Here is a 19,654-nt window from a genome sequence, read left to right on the forward strand (position 1 = left end):
CAGCCTTTTGCACTGCTGTTCTTACTCTCTCTTCAAGCCTGTATCCTCTTTTCTCATTGGCCAGGGGTTGTTGGCTCCAAAACAAAAAAGAATGAAAACCAAAACAAAACCCAAACCACAAATCAGTGAGGTGAACCAAGTGAGACTCTAAAGACAAATACGTGGGAGAGAAGTGCCAAGAAGAGAGATGTTGCCTCTGTGTGGCTTGTCCAGGATTCCTGTCTCACAATTCCACTCCCACCTTGAAATGCACTGCACACCAACCACAGACAGCAGGAGAGAAGCAGCGGGCAACAGCCCTGGGCTCAGAAGCCAGCTCAGAATGGCGGGCGATTCCCTGTGTAGCAGGCCCAGTCAGGAGGGTCTCGTGCCAAGCTCCAGGGCCATCCACAGCTCTGACATCCCCTTGTCAGTGTCAGTCCCAGAATCTCCATGCAGCCTCCGACCAAAAGAGACAATATCCCACAGCCCCCAGAGGGTGTGGCTCCCTTACCAATGGCAGTGGTGAGAAAGGAAACCACTTCTGACTCCTTTCCGTCATTGTAAAAAGCCAAGTGCCAGATTCCTGAATCCAAATACTGGATGAAGCCTGTCTCATGGCTGGAGGGGGGCACAGTTCCCCGAGACTGGCGCGGGGTCCCCTCTAGGCTCCGCGCCTCCTGGGTTAGGAGCCTCCTGCCATCCAGCAGCTCCACAAAGTCAAACTGAAAGACAGAGAAAGCACAGTTAGCAGTGGGTCTGTTCCACCACGCACCAGCGTCCTTCCCGGGGCTTCTCCTGGAGAGGACATTGGGAAACACAAATAGAGGCAAAAAGGGCCCAAAGAGGCTAAGGGTGCAGGAAGGTTGATCAATCAACTCAACTCTTCCCCAGACCCATTTTTTCATGGTGATATTCTCCCGGTTCTCCTGTGAGTGAGGCATAATTAGAGGATTATTTTTTAGTCTCATTTTGTTTTAGTTCTTTTTGTACTGGTGGTGAATCTTCCCCTGGCTGAGTCTGTACCAGGACAACCATGCTTTTTTGCAATGCCGGGTGTGTGGTTAGAAACACAGCCACTTTACAATTGGTTGAACTTCATGCAAGTCCTGACAAGAATCTTGGGGGGTGGTGGAGGGGAGCAGAGGCGGGTGGCTGGGACTGGGATTGGAGCATTGGATGTGATTGGAACATCAGTCATGTGCAAATGAAAATTTGATTTATGTCTATTTTCCTTTGGTCAATGGTTCTTTCTGAATGTTCTAGTTTCAGGGAGCAAATTTAGGGGAACTCAACTGGATTAGCTCAAAACTCTATCAATAATTACATGCTGTGTCAAATACAATTGCCAATTGATCGGAGACTGCTTGTGTGAGACTCCAGAAAAGTCAGTTACACTGTGTTAACAACAAGTAGGTGGTTAAGTCCTACTGGCCTATTAGCAAGCAAATTGGGTAGTTATCTAGCTAGCTAGCTAGCTAGCTTTAAAAACCAAACAAGATATTTATTCAATTTCATGAAAAACTGTCTGGAGATATGCAGGCCAGGACTAGCATACCAGTCTGCAGTCAACAGGGTCTCAAGGCTCTTCTCCTGTGATTCCTTCTTTAGCAAACATATCTGTCTTTTAGCTAAAAATCTTAAATAACTACTAGGGCTAGGAAGGCTGCATTTGGCCTAGGAATGCCTGATGAATGCCTATGATTTACATTACTCCAATTCCAGGGCTGGCAGGACCTTGCACAAGTGTCTGTTCTTCATTAATCATGATTGGTAATATGTCAGTCATCCTGGACAAGGTTTTTTCAGTGTTTCTGGTGTGCATGTGTTTGAGTCAATGTGTAACCCTGAAGGAGAGAAGGAATAAGAAAGACTAGGGAAGAATCATTTATTCTGAGCCAGGTCCTGCACTAGCTGCCTTATAAATGTTATTCTTCTTTCTTCACAACAGCCCTGCCAAGTGGGTATTGTTACCGGCATCTTATAGATGAGGAAACTTGCTCTGAGAAGCTAAGTGATGGAGCCAAGGTTACAATGCTGATAACAAGAGGATTCAAACTCAGATCTGTCTGATTCTAAACTGCATGCTTTTTTCTCTAGATCACATTTCCTGGATAATTTAACTTAGGAGACTGAGTAATAGCAGAAAGGCTGTTAAGAGATTTCCTAGAATTCTTTCCTCCTAGAAAGCCCCAGTGATATAACCTTACTCATCTGAAAGGGTGGGTCTGAGAGGGACTACATGAATGAATGGGCTATAAAATATATAAATGTCCCTTCAGGCTTAAGGCTCTGGATTGGGCTTCTTAACTTTGGGTTAAGATTTGAGGTAGGAGCCCATGCAGATCAACAGGGTATGTGGGGTTCTGGTTACCTGTGTATGTGAAGGAGGGAGGCCTTTTCTGCCATAAATGCCAACCAGGGCTGCCTTTCCCAGAGACACATTGAATTTCAGATGCACAGGATGGTCTATGAACACTTGAGATCTCCAGAAAGTGCCAGGAGGAATCTTCTGGGAAGCTCGCCTTCCCACATCAATTTCTCCAGAATCTATGAAACTGTCCTCTGGAAAGAAACTACTGGGCTTTCCTACCAAGATAGAGGGAAGGGAAGACAAAGACATCTCGGTTAGCCACATGGGAAACGAGAAACCAGGGCATCTGAACACCCGGGACTCTCCTTAGCCTCACATCCTTCTCTATAATGTTCTGCTGTCAGCTTCCTCCCCACCCTGGCCCTCCCCACATGGAGGAGTAAAAAGGTCCAGAACTTTTTTTTCCCCCCAGCGATGCTCAAATTATTCTGCTAAAAATATGCATTCTTCCAAAGCAGTATGGGTCCTCCCCAAGGGCCATCTGTTTACTGCATAATTCCACAGCTTGTTAAGATATATTTTGATCCTAAAAATAATCATTTGTGGTCACATGAAAATAGCTCTGTGATTTGGTGTGTTAAGGGGCTCACGGTAAAATAGAAAGGATGGGGGAACAAAGTGTTATTAATTTTCCAACTCAGAATGAGTCCCCCAGCAGTGGGAAGCATGACTTGATGGAGTAAGGTATTTAAAAAGCTCACTAATTTGTGTATACATTGGAAGCCAAATTCTGAGGCTGATATGTGGATGGGGGGTTGTGCTTAGGGCAGGGTTAGGGGCTGGGGAAGATGAGGAAAAGGTACTTCTGAAAAGAGGAAATATTTCTGCAAAATGTTCCTTTGTCTTTGGATGAGGGTAAATATAATATCTGTGCTAAAATGGGTCAAGCTGAGGGAATTTCCCAAGTTCACACACCAAGCCTATGCCATACCTGGAAATTCCACCCAGGCTCCCAACCCTGTGCTAAGCATCCATGCAGGGTGTCATGAGTAAAGTCTCTCGGCCATTTCTATACTGATTAGGAGGGTGACAGCTCTCTGGGGGCACCACAAATGCAAGCAAGGAAGGCAGCTTATCAAACTCCTTCTATTTAGTAATTAAGCACACTCATATGTGAAAAATACAAACCCTAACTTCCTGCCAGACATCAGCCTCCTGAAGAGTTGAGAAGGAACAGGAGAGACTCTAGGGATGTTAGGAAGACCACCCTTAGCACACTGAAAGACCAGCATCAAGTCAACAGGCTGTATTTTATTTGTTGTTATGAAGGACTTCCTGGGTATCCTGGTTCCAAGCGGTTTTTTTGTGATGTTAGAGATGTTCGAAGAGACACTTCAGAGAACAAGAATTCATTTGTAAAGAAAACACACTTTGGAACTTTTTGTAAACAGCATTTGGGGAATAGGAAATTAAAATGTCTTTCTTTCCCCCTAGCTTTGTAAGACTCCTTACAAAGCACATTTGATGCTGAAATGAAGCCTGGCAGGGCATTGTTGTAGTCATAAAACATTTTACTGTTTTAAATAATAAAATTCAATTTAAATGTTAAACTTCTCCATATGTTATCACTCCCTTATAAACTCCTAGGCAGAAACATCAGGTTTTTAGCTTCAAACTGTTAAATGTTATTTTAATTAAAAATATGCCAACAAAAAAGTTAAAATGTGCACTATCAATAAAAGTACCACTAGTATTCTGTCATTAGCATGGGAAAGAGTTTGCTTTTTAATTCCTTTATGGAAGGAATGTACTTCAGACATCAAATATAGATACAAAAACCACCACGCTGTGATTCACAAAGTTCAAAGACAGAACCCAAATTCACAATGCATTGAGATGGAAGAGAATTATTTACATTCTTTCTTATCTGATTTTTGGGTTCCCAATACCACAGCCATTCTATATTCCAGGAGGAAATAGTCTGCCATCAGCTTTTAATTTTGCTAGGGAGGCAGAACTAAGAGGGAGAATGAAACAAAGCAGATGCCTTCTGAGCTTTTTCCTCCTAGAAACTGAAAAGAAATAAGCACAACACTGCTAGTTCCAAGGATGCGTTTCCTTTGTGAGTAGGTGGCAGTCTGAGCTGATGGGATTTGAGAATTGTCTGAATTCAAATAATTCCCATGTCTGAAAATAAATACTGGAAAACTGCTCCCCCATTTTAGCATGCTGCTGGAGAACCCTGCACAGTTCATTTTCTCCCTCAATGAGCGTATTTTTAGGAGACAGTGACTGTATCAGCTAGGTTTTGCAGCCTTATAAGTCAGAGGTCTGCAGGCCTCAGGCATAAATAAGTTGGCTCTTACCCCAGAGGAGGTGACAAAAGGGGACTTTTCTAGCACTTTAGTATTTCACCTAGATGGGCTGGATGGGAGGGAGAAATTGTCTTGAGTGTGTATATGCTGAAAAAAAAAAGTGAACTCTGCTCTGGGGCATATCCTCTATCAGGACCTTGAGGGCCTCTGGTCACCAGTGGTCTCCAAATCCCACCACAGGGACAGGCTGGGAGCTGTTGAGGGGGAAATGCTAACAGCCTGCTGATCACCTTTACCTGAGGGGAAAGAGTCATGACATGGGCTGGGCTGAGGGTTGGGAAAGTGAAATGCCTTCCTTCTGTCTTGCTTGTTAAAAATCCTTATTGCCTTACACTTTCTAGATGCTATAAGACTTTTTGTCCTTAATTCTGAGCACAAAGCTGTGAGCACTAGGATATAAAATATCCTCCACCATGAAGCAAAAGCCACCAGTGGTGGAATCATAAGGGAGAGGAGAGGCTAGAGGCAATTGGAGGCAAAAAGTCTTGTGTATACAATTCTTCTTATCCCTACCTACACTCTGGAAGATAAAAATAGTAATAGATTTTAATGGTGGAAATAGCAATAAAGGTAGAGGTATTAGTATTACTAGTCATATTGGCTTCCACTTGATGAGCTCCAAGCACAGTGGCAGGTACCTTCCTGTGTATCAGTTCAGTTAATTAACATCTGTATATGGAGGCTCAGAAAGCTTAAGAAACCATTTTGGGATCCATCTTTATTTATTAAAATATGGCTTCTGAAGGGATCAAATTGATGAATGATTAATTAAAACACTACAAAGACATTCTCAGTGGTGGTGGGGTGCATTGACCTTCTTAAAGATCAAGAGTCCGATAGGATTCACAGCCCCAGCAGGCTAAATATCAGAGCTTGACCAGGTAGATCCAAGGCCCATTAAAAAACTTCCTGGCATCCTAGGGTACAAAAAGATCATTTGTATGAATTAGGAACCTACAAACAGGTCCAAAAGTTAAAGGGCAACAGTCAGGGTCTCAAAACATTCATGAGAAGGACACTCTACAATCACTGGGTGCCCCCAGAGACTTAACAAACACTGCAAAAAGCTTAGGTCACAATTAGGGCTCCCCTACAGCAAGATTAGGCCTCACAAGGCAGATTTTACTGATAATAGTCCTTTGCTTTGTAAAGCTAGATAGATTCAGGCTTCCCATAGCAATGCTGTGCAAATATGCAATCATGTCTATAAAAGAAATTTCTTAATGAATTGCTAAAATGGATAGCTCAGTCAAAAAGCAAGATTTGGAAGAACTGAAATTTCATGCACTTCTCAATCATAGCCTTTACTTTCTTGAACTGAGATCTACCTATATAGATTCTAAATTCCTAATCAACTAATGTTCTTTCTCTCCCTCCACCTTTTTGGTTCTTTTCAATGCAATAACTTGCATGAAGAATTCTTTAGTTTCCTTAGCAACTGGTTGAAATTTATTTGGTTATCAAAATAAGCTGTTCTGTTTTGGAGAGCCCAGCTGAGCCTGCGCACAGCAATTTGCATGGTTCAAACTAATGGGCAATTTTTATTTCACTGCAGAAAGAAGAAAATGCTATCCCAAGCCCACCAATTCAACCATCAGAAATGCCTGTTTATTCAATGTTTTTTTCCCTTCCCCATTAATGTGTAACACAAGTTCTTGTGGCTTTAGTTCGAAAAGCTGCTGTATTTGGTTTCTGTCCCATCACAACCCTGGAATGGTTACAGCCATTTGGAAAATATAGTATGAACTGCAGTTTCATGTTATTCTCAAGGACATGATGAACATTTACAATTCTTGGATTATCATACATTTAATTCATATAAATAAGAAATATATATTCTTTAACATATTCAAAAATACCTCAAACCTTTGCAGAATCTGTGGCAGGGAGAGAATGTTAATTAGTCTGGACTTCTGGGATTTTAATAACTAATATGGAATGGCATGGGATTTGAGTGGATAAGAAGAAGAGAACAAATATTTGTTGAGTGCCACTTCAACATTAGGCTTTGAATGGATAGATATAGTTATCCTTGTTCTACAGATGAGGAAGGTCAAGGGAGATGCAGTAAGTGCCATAAGTTAACAGAGCCAATATAAAGCAGGGTCAGGATTAACATCCTATACTGTCTGGCTCCAAGGCCCATTTACCCCTTTCTATCACACCACATTGCTTTCTCCATCATTGTGAAGCAGAGACTCTAATCTTAATTCTGGAATCAGCTGTCTTCTTGAATATCCTCAGAAGGGATGAGAAATATGTGCTCACATCAGAGTTAAAGACTTTCTGCATTGAGATATATCTAGGGGAATGCATTTTTAACATCACAATGAAAAACATACACTGAGTAGACATTGGTTTGACCAGGGCAAAATAAAGGAAGAACATTGTGGTCTCACATAAACTATAGGAAGCTTTGTCCTCTGGTTTCCAGTCTGACGTATTTTTTTTGTCACAGTGATTGCTTCTGATGCTGACCACTTTGCAGCACAGTGCTGCATTGAAGGCATTTGCAAACAGGATTTCCATTTGCATCAGTAATGACAGATAATCCCTTTAAGCAAAAATACTCCAATTAAAATAAACCAATAATCTGGTGCAATTTTATTTTATCTCTTATCTGCACCTCCTGTTCCTTACAAAAACAAAACAAAACCTAAACAACCCACAGACTAATTTCATTAGAGTGAGAGATTTCAGATAGATCCGACTCCTGTTTAAAGAACGTCTGATAGAGATCATAGAGGGAAGAAAATACGTTTTGCCAAATGAGATCCTTTACCAGTTCCTTGAGGGTTAAGCATATTTTAAATCTACATTTGTACATGCTGATCTAAAGACAGTCTTCACATTATGGTATTAACCCATGGCATCTGACGCTAGAAGCTGACATGGGCACCACGAGCCAAAAGGCAGGACCATGGACAGGGCCAACATGACATTCTGAAGAGCCATCTGGTTACTTACATGATTCTATTGCTATTTTCATATGTAGAACTTACAAATCAGAATGCACCTTAGAGAGAATCTAGCTCAATATTCTCCTTTTGAAGAGGAGAAAAGGACTCCCAGAAAGTGTGTTCAAGGGATTTGCTTAAGGTGATACCACAGGTCAGTGGCTGCAGCTGGAATTGAACTCAGGGCTTCTGACTTCTAACCCAGAGCTCTTCCCAGGTCCCATTCATGATTCCTCCCTCCATATCCTATTAAGAGGCAAAGAAAGTGTGCACTATTTAGCATTTTAAGACTTAAAATCTTTGCAAATGAGAGGACTGGCTTTGTCCCTCAAAATAGTGGGCAGGGGTTCTGTGTGGAAATGATCTCAGTTCCCACTTCCCTTAAAGATGACCAGAAGCCAAGAGTTGACTTTGGCCCTCAGGATCCTCATTTCAGAGGTCATGAGTAGATACTCTGACCAAGTATATGCCACCCTGTTAAACAAACTGGTGGCTGGAAGGCAAATTATTGCAAGGGCAGAGAGGCTCAGATGCTATGACCCAAAAGTCAACTGAGAGAAAAGAAGATGTAAGCAGTGAAAGTTAGAGGCAGCTATTGCCAATGTGCTGACTGAAGGGTCACAGGGAGAGAAAGCAGGCCATAGCAGGTGCAGGAGAAGGGAACGCCACACTGCCCAGAATGACAACCAGGCTGGGTTATTAGCTCAGACATCTTTCTGGGTGCCAATTTTTGTGAGTCTGTGCCACTCTTGGCTGACAATGTCCATGGCATGTTAGAAATATTTCTAAGACATTGAGAACATGGGCCTATGGATATCCCACTCAGGAATAGCAAACCCAATGCCACCACCATTTCCATCATTGATAGGAAATATCCATGTCTCATTGTACAATAGAATTTCACACCCACATCTCCTTCAGGGCCTTGTAACCTTGGGGTAAGTCAGGTGGGGAAGCTTATGGAGATAGCGAGAGCCCTGGAGTCACAGACCTGGGCTCATATCCCAGACTCTACCATTTACTGGCTGTGTGACTCTGGCCAAATCACTTAATTAGTGCAATCCTTTGCACCAATTCTAGTTTCTATATCTAGAATAATTATAAAATAATTATCTTACAGGATCTCTGTGGGAATTAAATGTGAAATGCTTTTGGCAAAAAGTTTTAAAACAAACATGCTGTACGAACACTAATGATTATTGTTATTATTGCGGATGCGGAAACTGAAGCTCAGGCAAATAAGTGACTTGCTCAAGGTCACACGTTTAGTAAATGACAGACCACTTAAACTGGTGTTTCTATTAAACCACAAGAGTCCAAGAATCTTTCCATTACAACACCCCATCTACCTGCCTCCCCATACCCCACTCCCACAGATGCCCAACTGTCCCATGAGGTTTGCCCAGAAGAGCTCCTCTCACCCCACACAAAGATGGCCACCCCAGCAGTGTGAAGCCCCTAATGCTTCCCTCAAGGCATGGGATGGGATTCTGCTGAGCACCATGAGCCCTTCCTGAGCCTCCCACGAACTCTCAGTGACAAGGAACTGCGATGAAGACACAGGTGGACTGGCAGCTTGACAGCTGGCGTGGAGTGTGGAAGGATGGAGGGAGCGCCAGAGCATGGAGCTGTGAGCCAGGCACATGATGCACGCACGTTATGGAGGGCTCTTCAGCTCAGAGGCAGACACAGAGGACTCACAACACGGACAACGCAGCAACCCTACCTTCTGTGGTTCCTTTGCCTTTCCTGTCAGGGGTCTCTAAGCCAGTGCCCCCTGAGGGGTATAGGGAGACGTCGGTTGGCACAGGCCAACTGCTGGCTGTGTCCTCCGTGATCTCATACATCTGCCCCTCCATCGGCTGCAGGTGCCAGTTTAGGCCAAACAGGTGCATGGCTGTGGTGAGCAATGAGAAAAGTCATCTTTTTCTGCTGGAGGCAGAAACGGGACTCCCAAGCCATAAGGGAAAGGTGGGCAGGGTGGGGGAACACAGGCATTCAGTTCAGTTCAACAAGTAGCCCCAAAAGGAAGCTCTTGTAGTGCCAGCCCTGCAAAGGAGACTGGGGACAGAGAGGATCAAGGTTCAGACCCTGCCCTCAAGGGGCTCACAGTCTGGTGGAACTGGGAGTAGGCAGGATCGGGGAGTCTCAGGAGGTCTTGGTCTTTGCTTCGAAAGATAAATAACAATCTGGGGGAAAAACTGCAATTGGTATGACAATGTTAATTTCCTTAACGCAAAAATAACTTGTACAAATAATAACCAAAGTCCAACAACTCAGTAGGAAAATAGGCATTGGATATGAACAGTTTACTGAATAAGAAATACAAATAGCCCATAATCATATGAAAAGACTCTTGGCATTATTCATAGCAAAAGAAATGTAAGTTAGACTCTGAAATACTATTTTTCACATATGGTTTGGCAAAGATAAAAAAGGTTGAAAATACACTATATTGGCAGAGAATGGAAAGCAAGCATTCCCATATTTTACTGGTGTGAGAATATAATGTACAAAATCTATGGAGGGCAATTTGATAAAAGCTAGCAACATTAAAATACACATACCCTTTATCCTGGGACATAAAGCTTCCAATTCTAGAAATTCCTCCTCCAGATATACTTATACATGTACTAAATGATGTACATACAAGGTTATTCACTTCAGTATAATTTGTTATAGCAAAATATTAGAAACCAGTCCATTGATAAGGGGCAAGAAAATGAAGTAATATCCACACAACAAAATTGGATGCAACCATTAACAAGAATAAAGAGGTTCTTTATGTATTTTTGTGGAAAGATAAGTATAACATGCAGAAGTGTATTTGATATACTACCTTTGGGTTTAAAAATTCCTGGAAATGTATAAAATATTTCTGGTAGAATATGAAAGACTGGTAACAGTAGCTGTGTCCTGTGAAGGATAGAGATACTATGGATCGGGGGATAGGAGGGAAACTTGCTTTTCACTGTACACCTTTTGCACATTTTCATTTTGTGCCATGTGCATATATTTCTGTTCTAAAGATATTTTTCCATACAAAAAATTAGCCGGGCGTAGTGGCGGGCGCCTGTAGTCCCAGCTACTTGGGAGGCTGAGGCAGGAGAATGAAGTGAACCTGGGAGGCGGAGCTTGCAGTGAGCCGAGATCCCGCCACTGCACTCCAGCCTGGGCGACAGAGCGAGACTCCGTCTCAAAAAAAAAAAAAAAAAAAAAAAAAAAAAAAGATATTTTTCCAAGGTAGCAACTGCTAAAAAGTCTTGTACGACAATCTAGAAAGAGACCATAAGGCGCAAAAGAATGAACATTGTCCCTTGAGATATACATGCTTGAGAAGGCTGGGAAGTTCATCTCCAATAATGTTTGTGATCTAGCACAAAATATCTGCTTAAATCCCATTTTAGGATTCCAGGCTTGGGCCTTGTCAGTGGTTCAGGCTCCCCTCTTCTGATGCCCATCTGAATTCCCCACACATGGAAGTAAGCGCTCAAGTCCCTGGACCCTCATGACACCCTGGATGTAACATTCACTCCTTTGCTTGGTGAACACTGTCTGAAAGCCCACTCCATGGCAGATTCTGGAGAGCCAGAATGAAATCAGAGAGTCCTTGCTTCAGTGAGCTCACAGCCAAGTAGGGAAGACAGACAAATAACAAAGTCTCTTCAGCAAGACCAGAAGGCCTAGAGGAGGGGGTGCCTGACCCGCTAGGGGGGCTAGAAGAACACAGGGAAGGATCTTCAGAGAGATGAAGGCCCATAGTAATTGTATTTACTGTGTGACAGGCAGTATGTGGGGGAACTTGTATATATTAATCCTCATGGCAATCTCACCAGACTGAATTTACAGAGGTGCATATTAAGGCTCAGAAGGTTAATTAAAATTAAGATAGCCATAAAACTATTATTTATTGAGTACTTAATGATATGCCAGGCATTAGGCTGAGAGCATTACAAGCAATAATTCCTTTAACTCTCACAATAATCCTATGAGGTATTAATAACCCCATTTTACAGATGGAGAAACTAAGGCACAACAAGACTAATTAACACACGCAAGGTTAAATGGCTAACAGGTTGCAGAGACGAGACTATAATCCCAAACTCTTCCAATCCTGAAAACATGCACTGTCAGTCTTCTCGGCATCAAGGCCCAGGCTTGCCTGCTTGGCTAGGGCACCTCTTGCTTGGTGTATCTATCAGGGTGGGCGTTACAAAGACATCCCCCTTTTGTACATCAAACAGCCTCCAAGGCTTTTAAGTCTCTTTTTAGGCAGTAACACAGGATCCTGTGAGCTAGAGAGGGAACTCTGTTACCTGGCCCCAGTGTATGAAGGTGTCACTGATGGTGGTTTTGAGGGGCTGTGTGACTGCCATCAAGACACACACAAAAAAACTACCGAGGAGACTGGAGCACAGCATACCCGTTTGACTTCTAGTCTGAACACAAGCCATGGGGAACACACACAAGTCTGCTTCAGCCAGGAGGCCACGCTCGGGTGAAAGCAACGAGATCCGACACTTTGCTTTTTTCTTTGGTTACTGTGGTACAGGAGAAGGTGTGTGGGACCAGAGGAAAGAAACTAGTTTTGAATCTCAGCTGCCACTGCCTAGCTGCATTCTTCTCATCTGAGCAATGAGTATAGAAAGCTTCAAAACATTGTTGTACCTAATGAGGTAATACATGGTAAAATGCTTTGCAAACTGTACACATGTGTGATAACTATACGTGATAACCATTCATTGCATTTGTACTGTTGATGATAATGAAATGACAATAGTCACTGACATTTATTGAGCACCTTTTTTGGTACCAGGTACCAGGTGAGGTGCTTTGCACTGCTCTCCTCTACCTCCTATGTAGGTGACAATAATACTTGAACAGTTAACCTGCCTGGAAGCAGTGAATATTCTGCTATTTCCAAGGCTGGATTAGCTCAAAATTCTGTTTACCTTCTTACTTTATATATTAGCAACTCCAAAGGTAACGGAGAAATTGTTTGAGCTACAGACGAATCAGATATATGCAGCTAAGTAAGCAATGCTTCTTTCCCCATTAGAATCAATTATCTCATCTAAGTGTGCAACAGTGCTGTCTTGTTAAAAGGTCATGAGAATTAACTAATCCCAGAATGAATAGAACTCTCACAGCTTTGTGAAGAGAAACATTTTTATTGTCACAGCTTTCTTTTATATTTAACAAGATGCAAATAAGTCCTTGCTTAAAAAAAAAAAAAAAAAAAGATACGTTGTGGGTAGGGGTGGGAATAAGCCAGGGAAAAAAGTGTTGCAGGTGAAAATGATCAACAGGTCTGGGGTCCCAGGGAAGTTAATGAGGGCAGGACAGTCCACAGTTATGAGGGTGGGGGAGACATGGGGGGAGGGGTGTTGGCACCCCTTCCTCTCCACTGTACCCCCCTGGCAATCACAGAGGCCAACACAGCTGTGAGGCTGGCCAATAGTCTCCGTGGCCTGTGGAAGATGCACTCCTGAAAACTATCTGGGAAAGCAAAGCTCTGTATTCAACTCCAACTTAGACTGAATCTCTCAGGAGATTTAACCATTCAAAAATAACTTTAGAAGCTGGTGGGTAGGGAAGGAAACCTAGGGTCACCCAACCAAGGTTGGGCTGAGAAATGGCTACCTGGAAAGTAAGGAGTAGGATGAAGCAGAGATTCAGAGACATGAAGTTCAACCAGTAATGTCATCTTTTTAAAAAAAATTTTAATTTTTGTGGGCACATAGAAGGTGTATATACTTATGGGACACGTGAGATGTTTTGATAACAGGCTTGCAATGCATGATACTCATGTGATGGAAAATGGGGTATCCATCCCCTCCCTCCAGCATTTATCTTTTGTGTTACAAACAATCCAATTATACTTTTAGTTATTTTAAAATGTATTGTTTAATTGTTATTGACTATAGTCCACCCTGTTGTGCTATCAAATAGCACAGTTCTTTATTTATTCTATTTTTTTTTTGTACCCGTTAACCATGCCACCTATCTCCAAACCTCCCACTAGCCTTCCAAACCTCTGGTAACCATCCTTCTACTCTCTATCTCCGTGAATTCAATTGTTTCAATTTTTAGCTCCCACAAATGAGTGAGAATACAGCAAAGTCATCTTAAAGCCAAAATAAAGGGGACATTTAATCTGTGATCCAAGGTTTTAAATATAAGTCATGCTAGTGACCCTGTCATTCTTTTACTGTATTGTTAGGCAGGTGGTTAATTCTATAGTTCTGGGTTATGGGAGAGGGGGAGAGGGAAGGGAGAGAAGTAGTTTGCTCTGCTCTCCTCTTTCCAAAGGACACAGCACATTCTCAGCCAGAGTCTGCCCATGAAATACATATGATCGAGTGGCCTCTCTTCTTTATCCTTTGTAATAATCAAAATCATAACACAAAAATTAGTATCATTTGAATGCACACTACATGCCAAGTGCTTTATTTATATTATTCAGTTTCATACTTATATAAAAGTAGGTTGAAAAAACATTACTGGAGAATGGAAGTAGAATAGAAATAGAGCTATAGTGCTATATTCTGATTTACTCAGAGAAGTAAAGTAAGTTACTGGAGACCACAGAGCTGGTAGAAATTTGAGGCAAGTTTAAAACTCAGGACCCTGTGCTCCCAAGCCAAGCTTCTTCTTTTATATATTTTATTTTAAATAGAAGATAAAGCCAGCAGCAAATAAAATTTGAAATAAATATTTAGGGAGGGGGAGCTGATAGTGATGATAAATATTCCCTGGCCCACAGCAATCTTCATTTAAAGCTGTGTATAGCAGCTGAGTGCGTGTTATCCAAATGATTTGGAAGACAGAGCCACAGATTAAAAAAAAAAAAAAAAGCTAACAAATATAAACGGTTCTCCCCAGCCTGCTAAGGATAGACTGGGCCACTGAAACAATATAAATTATAATCACTGTATTCCATGTTCCCTGAAGAATGAACGGTAACTACTCATCATCTGTGTTACGTCACAGGATTCTCTATATGATACTCTGCAGTGTGTATTTATAACTGTTGTGCAAAACCTTCCTCAAGTACACTCAAAGTGACCTAGATAAGTAACTTGATACTGGTTTTCCCGTTAGACTAGTTTGTAATTCAGTGAAAAGGTGAAAAGATGCTAAGGAGTTCAGAAAAAGGCTGTGGAAAGGTAGCTGGTTCACAAGATCACCCACGCTGAAATGTTAATGATTTCTAAAAGCCAAGAGCCAAGGTGGGGGAAGTTCTGATTCTCTTGGCTCTGGTCAATCTCATCCCAGGGCTGACATTTTCCCCGTCGCCTTTTCCTGTCCAGTGAGACATGAGAGATGGCTCAGAAAGTGCAAGCTCTATCTTGACATTTTAAAGAAAGGCTCCATAGATGTTCAGACATTGAAGGCTCCCCTCAGCACCCGGCCAGCAGGAGGCAATTAACAAAGTCATTATGCAGGAGTCACCAATATCAGTACAGGTGAGTTTCTGCTGTCACGATGCACACTTCCCTTCCAAAACTGGAATGCACAAACCCACTTGCATCTGTGCATCAGCAGCTCCAGGGAGTGACTAGACACGGTTATAACCACAAGGAACTGTTGATTCAAGTGGCATTTTTGGTTTCAAAAGGCAGTGGGAACCAACCCAACCACGCAGCTACCCACTTTTCTGTTTTATATTAGTGCTCAGTTTTTTTTTTTAAATGACTATTTCTATGAAATCAGTCACTGAGGTTCTTTGACTTATGGTCCTCTAATGGGGTGAAAAACTAAAAAGATAAAATAATAACAGAAATGACAGGCTTTCATTCCCTAGGTTATCTTCCTGGTTTTGCTACAAAGCCACCACATTTAAAAGTTCCAAACCAAGAAACTATATACACAAGATGTACACGGCAGGATAACAGAAAAAAAATTGGAAGCAAACTCGATGTCTAAAAATAGGAGAACGACTTAGCTAACTTATGGTACAGGTACAGGATGGAATATAAGGCAATCATTACAAAAAATAACTAAGATAAACAGCGATGCAGGAAAATGCTTAAAACACAATGTCAGGAAAAGAAAAGGCAGGGCACCAAATTGCATGTGTTTCCTGACTGCATCTCTGCAAAACCATGTATGCATATGAAAAACAATTTGTAAAGAAATACATAAAAATGACCTCAGGATTTGAATTACAGCAGACGATTATTTCCTAGTTTCCAAACTCATTTTAGTGCATCAGCATTAAAAAGGAAGCCTCCAACTTAGTGTCACAAGCAATAGGTAGAAGAGAAAGATGATACAGCATGGGGGAGGGGTCCTGACTTTGAGCTTTTGCCTTGTGTCCGACCCCAGACATGAGGAATTACATATGCTCTCTCACTCAATCTTTACATGAATCTTGAGAAACTCGTTTGACAAATGAAGAAACTGGAGGCTCAGAAAGGCTCCTCAGCTGGCCCAAAGACACACAGATAGGAAGTACTAAGGCCAAATTTGAACCCCGATCTAAAAACAGATCTGAATGGTTCCAAAGCCCAGGTTCCCCTCCTGGCACATCACACTGGTGATGAGTTACAATGCCTGAAAACTACATTACAATTTAAAAAAAAATTTTAAGACAAAGATTTCGCTGACAGCATAGCTAGATTTGCTCTTTTGAGATAGTTTGTTAAGAGGCTTTTTTCTCAGGGACAAAGCATGGGCCCCCATCCTTTCATATCCTGACTGCCTGACCAGCAACTGATCCCCACAAACAAAAACCATGTAGATGCCAGTAAGCAACTTGCCACAGGCACAGTCAGTCTGTGTTTGGGTCTTTCTATAAAAGCACTCAGAGCTTGTTGAGTTACTGGTTTTGTGACTTTGGGCAAAGTACTTAGCCTGTCTGAATCTCAGTTTCTTCACCTGTAAAATGAAGCTGATAATATCCACCTCAAAGGATTGAATGAGATAATGTAATTTGCTTAGAACTATGCCTGGTACATACCAGGAGCTCAGTAAATGGCAGTTGTATCATCACTGTCATTTTGCTATGCTGATTTCCCTAATTCCTATATCTACTGAAAACTTTAAGCCAGCTCTGTGATACTGCCTTTTTCTTCTTTCTATATGTTCCCTATTAGTTCCCTTCCATGCCAGTTGCCAATTTCTTTAAATTGAGGGCCCTCACCTGCTCCCATTAGCTGACAGACTTTGGTAATGGGAACTAGAGATATTTGCCCAATAGATGAAACATCTTTTAAAAGCATGATTGCTATAAAACTGCCTGTCAGGATCCCACTGATGACTACGTGGGGGTAATTTTTAATCAAGTAAATATACTGCTTTTCCTCCTGTCTCTGGAAAAACTTGGCTGCAATAATCAGGGCTACTGTCTCTCACTCCCAAATTAAGTGTTTTCTGGAGAATGGATTCTGGCACAGTTAATCATTTCTCTGTGCCATGCAAAGTTATAGGGAAGGAGGCCTTTCAGCAAGGATTCATGGGTGCTGCTCAATGTTTCTTTAAATCATGGCGGAGTTGGTCCCGAGCCAGAGGATCAGGTGCAGTCAGCCACAGAGGCAGGGAACAGGTGAGCCCACCACCAATACAGAGGAGGAATGTCACCTTAACTGGAGGGCACTGAAAACTGGTGACAAGGCAAGTTGTAGGGGAACTGGAACTGAAACCTAATTTGTACAGAATAAACTGCTATTATTGCAGTAATAGAATAAGAAAGCTGTGTTTTCTGGGCACCTTTCCCCGGGTGGGCTCTACTAAGACCTCTTCCGTATATAACTAATTTAGGAGTTGGCCACCCCCCACCAACCTTTGGACTCACCTCAGCCCAGTTATCTGACCTCTCCCTGCCAGACCTCCCACATTGTGCTGGTTCCCAAGTCAAGAAAATGGCTGTGAAGAGCAGTGGCTGTGAGCACAGCCTCTGGAGCCAGAGAGACCTGTGTTCCTTCTCTGGTTCTGATGTGACCAGTTACATGACAACTTTACTCTTTTGAGCCTCTGTTTCCCCATCTATAAGACGGTGATAATAATACCTAGCTTTGAGAGTTGTGGAGATTAAAAGAAGTGACGTGTTTTATGAGCTCCTCATGGAGCTTGGTATTTACTGACATGAACTACCAGATGGGAGCTCTCTTTGTTGGCATCATCTTCATTGTGTATCAAGGTTTTCACTGAAAAATGAAGTGAGGACATATCAGGACCTGGGGAGTGAGAAGCCTGAGTTTTGTATTAGGGGACATTGCTATGACTGACATCTCAGCTCCCAGGTACCTACCAACCCACTCACCGCACAGATGAAGAAACTCAGGCTTGATTAGCGCCTTTGTGTCAGGGCCTGGGACTGAGCTAAGCCCAGTTCTTCAGACTTCTAGTTCAAAGCTCTTCCCACGAAGTGACCCTGTTATTACATTAATCACAATAGAAAATCATGTCCAGAGCAGGACAGCCATCCTCATTGCTTGTTCTTCCATCAGGCGCTGCTTCCCAGGTGAAGGGAACCATCTCCTTGGGTCTAAGGTAAGGGGAATGAACCCACAGCACGGGCCATGTCAGGCCATCAAGCAGCCCTCCCTTTAGGGCAGGGATTATTCCAGTCATCTCTGCCCCCCCAGAACCTGGTCCAAAGGGGTGAAGAAGAAAGCAAGGAAAGGAAGGAGACAGAGTGAGGATTATTATTAAAGAAACAACAGCTCCTACTTATTAAAATTTTACCTTGTGCATGATATAATACTGGAGGATTCACATTTATTATGTCATTCAAACTCACAACTCTTTAAGTTAGATAGTATTAGTAACTCCATTTTATAGATTAGGTGCCTCAAAACAGAGATAAGTAGTACATATTACTACTTTAATTTTCTATCTCTAGAAAACCGAGGATCCAGAATTGTCTACAATTGTACCGTTCAACATAGCAGTGCCAAGATCCAAAAGCAGATTCCAGTGATGCCAGATATGAAGTTCTTGTCACACTGTCATCAAGGAAGCACAGGACAGGCTTCCATTTCATCCTGATCAGGACAAAAATGCAGCTTTTGTCAAATCACTATCAACAGGGCAAGCATTCTAGGAAGCGGCTCCACACAGAAGGGGTGCTTAAACCTAGTACAATGCCTACCATCTGCCCTTCATAGTCAGGCCTCACTAGTGATGCAGTGATCACTGAACCCAAAGGATCTCCTGCCTGTTCAAACTGCTCTGCTGGTGTGAGGAGTCAGCATTGCCCTTTGGGTGGTACAACACGCCACTGCCAGGTCTGGGATGGTGCCTGTTATTTCCCAAGTGTGCCATCATCACATTCCTTTCTTTGTGGCCCTTGAGTCCATGATGACACCATTCCCAGTGCTATCTGAAGTGTCTATATAAAGGTGTTCCAACTTGCAAAGGACCAGCCTCTCACCTGAGATGCATCATCCCCTCCCTCACCTGTGTTAACGATCAAATGAGGCAGGAAAGAGAAATGTGTGTTTAGTTGGTGCTTGGGAGCTCACACAAGGAGAAGGTGCTTGTTGCTATGCTCCATTTCCATAGCTACAAGAAAATGTACTGCTACTTGGCTGTATAGAGCAACCCTCCAGTCTTCTGATTTTCTTTGGTGTGCCAGCCATGCAACTGATTTTTTTCATGATCAAAGTCAATTAGGAGGTGGTCCCCACTGTACCTCAAATGGAGTTTTAATTTGTGTATGTATTATTAGGAGAGGCCTTTTCCCTTTGGATCATTCACTTCAGCAAGAGGAATGAGGGCAGACAGCTTAACGTGGAGCCTGCCACCCAGATTTGTAACTTGGGATAATATTTCTTTATAATGAGAAACATTTCAAAATAGCACTTTAAAATCACACAGAACAGAGTGTTTGATGTCCCTCCTTTACACCCTACAGCTTCCCAGTCTCCAGTCCCATGGGTATTTTCCAGCCCTTGGGGACCATATCATATTTTCCTGCCCCCCTGCCTTTATCTGTGCACGGAGCAAGGCACTCATATGTGAGTTACCTCTGCTTCTTGTTTGATTACACACAGACCCTTGGTTTGGTTTAGTCTTTAACT

General features: G+C 42.4%; 1 protein-coding gene across 9 annotated transcripts in view; it reads right to left on the minus strand.

The window, feature by feature from the left end:
- TENM4 (teneurin transmembrane protein 4) overlaps positions 1-19,654 on the minus strand; it is a 788,202-nt gene that overhangs the window by 200,782 nt on the left and 567,766 nt on the right. For 7 of the 9 annotated variants that reach the window (XM_047426737.1, XM_047426736.1, XM_017017525.2 and 4 more), the window contains 3 exons: positions 9,352-9,522; positions 2,354-2,568; positions 494-704 (listed from right to left, as the gene is read on the minus strand). In XM_047426737.1, coding sequence (XP_047282693.1) covers positions 494-704; positions 2,354-2,568; positions 9,352-9,522 — 597 coding nt within the window. The remainder of the gene's footprint in view (positions 1-493; positions 705-2,353; positions 2,569-9,351; positions 9,523-19,654) is intronic. The other 2 variants (XM_047426739.1, XM_047426742.1) reach the window with 1 other exon arrangement.

The sequence above is a fragment of the Homo sapiens genome, chromosome 11 (assembly GCF_000001405.40).
Source record: "Homo sapiens chromosome 11, GRCh38.p14 Primary Assembly".
Classification (NCBI taxonomy): Eukaryota; Metazoa; Chordata; class Mammalia; order Primates; family Hominidae; genus Homo; species Homo sapiens.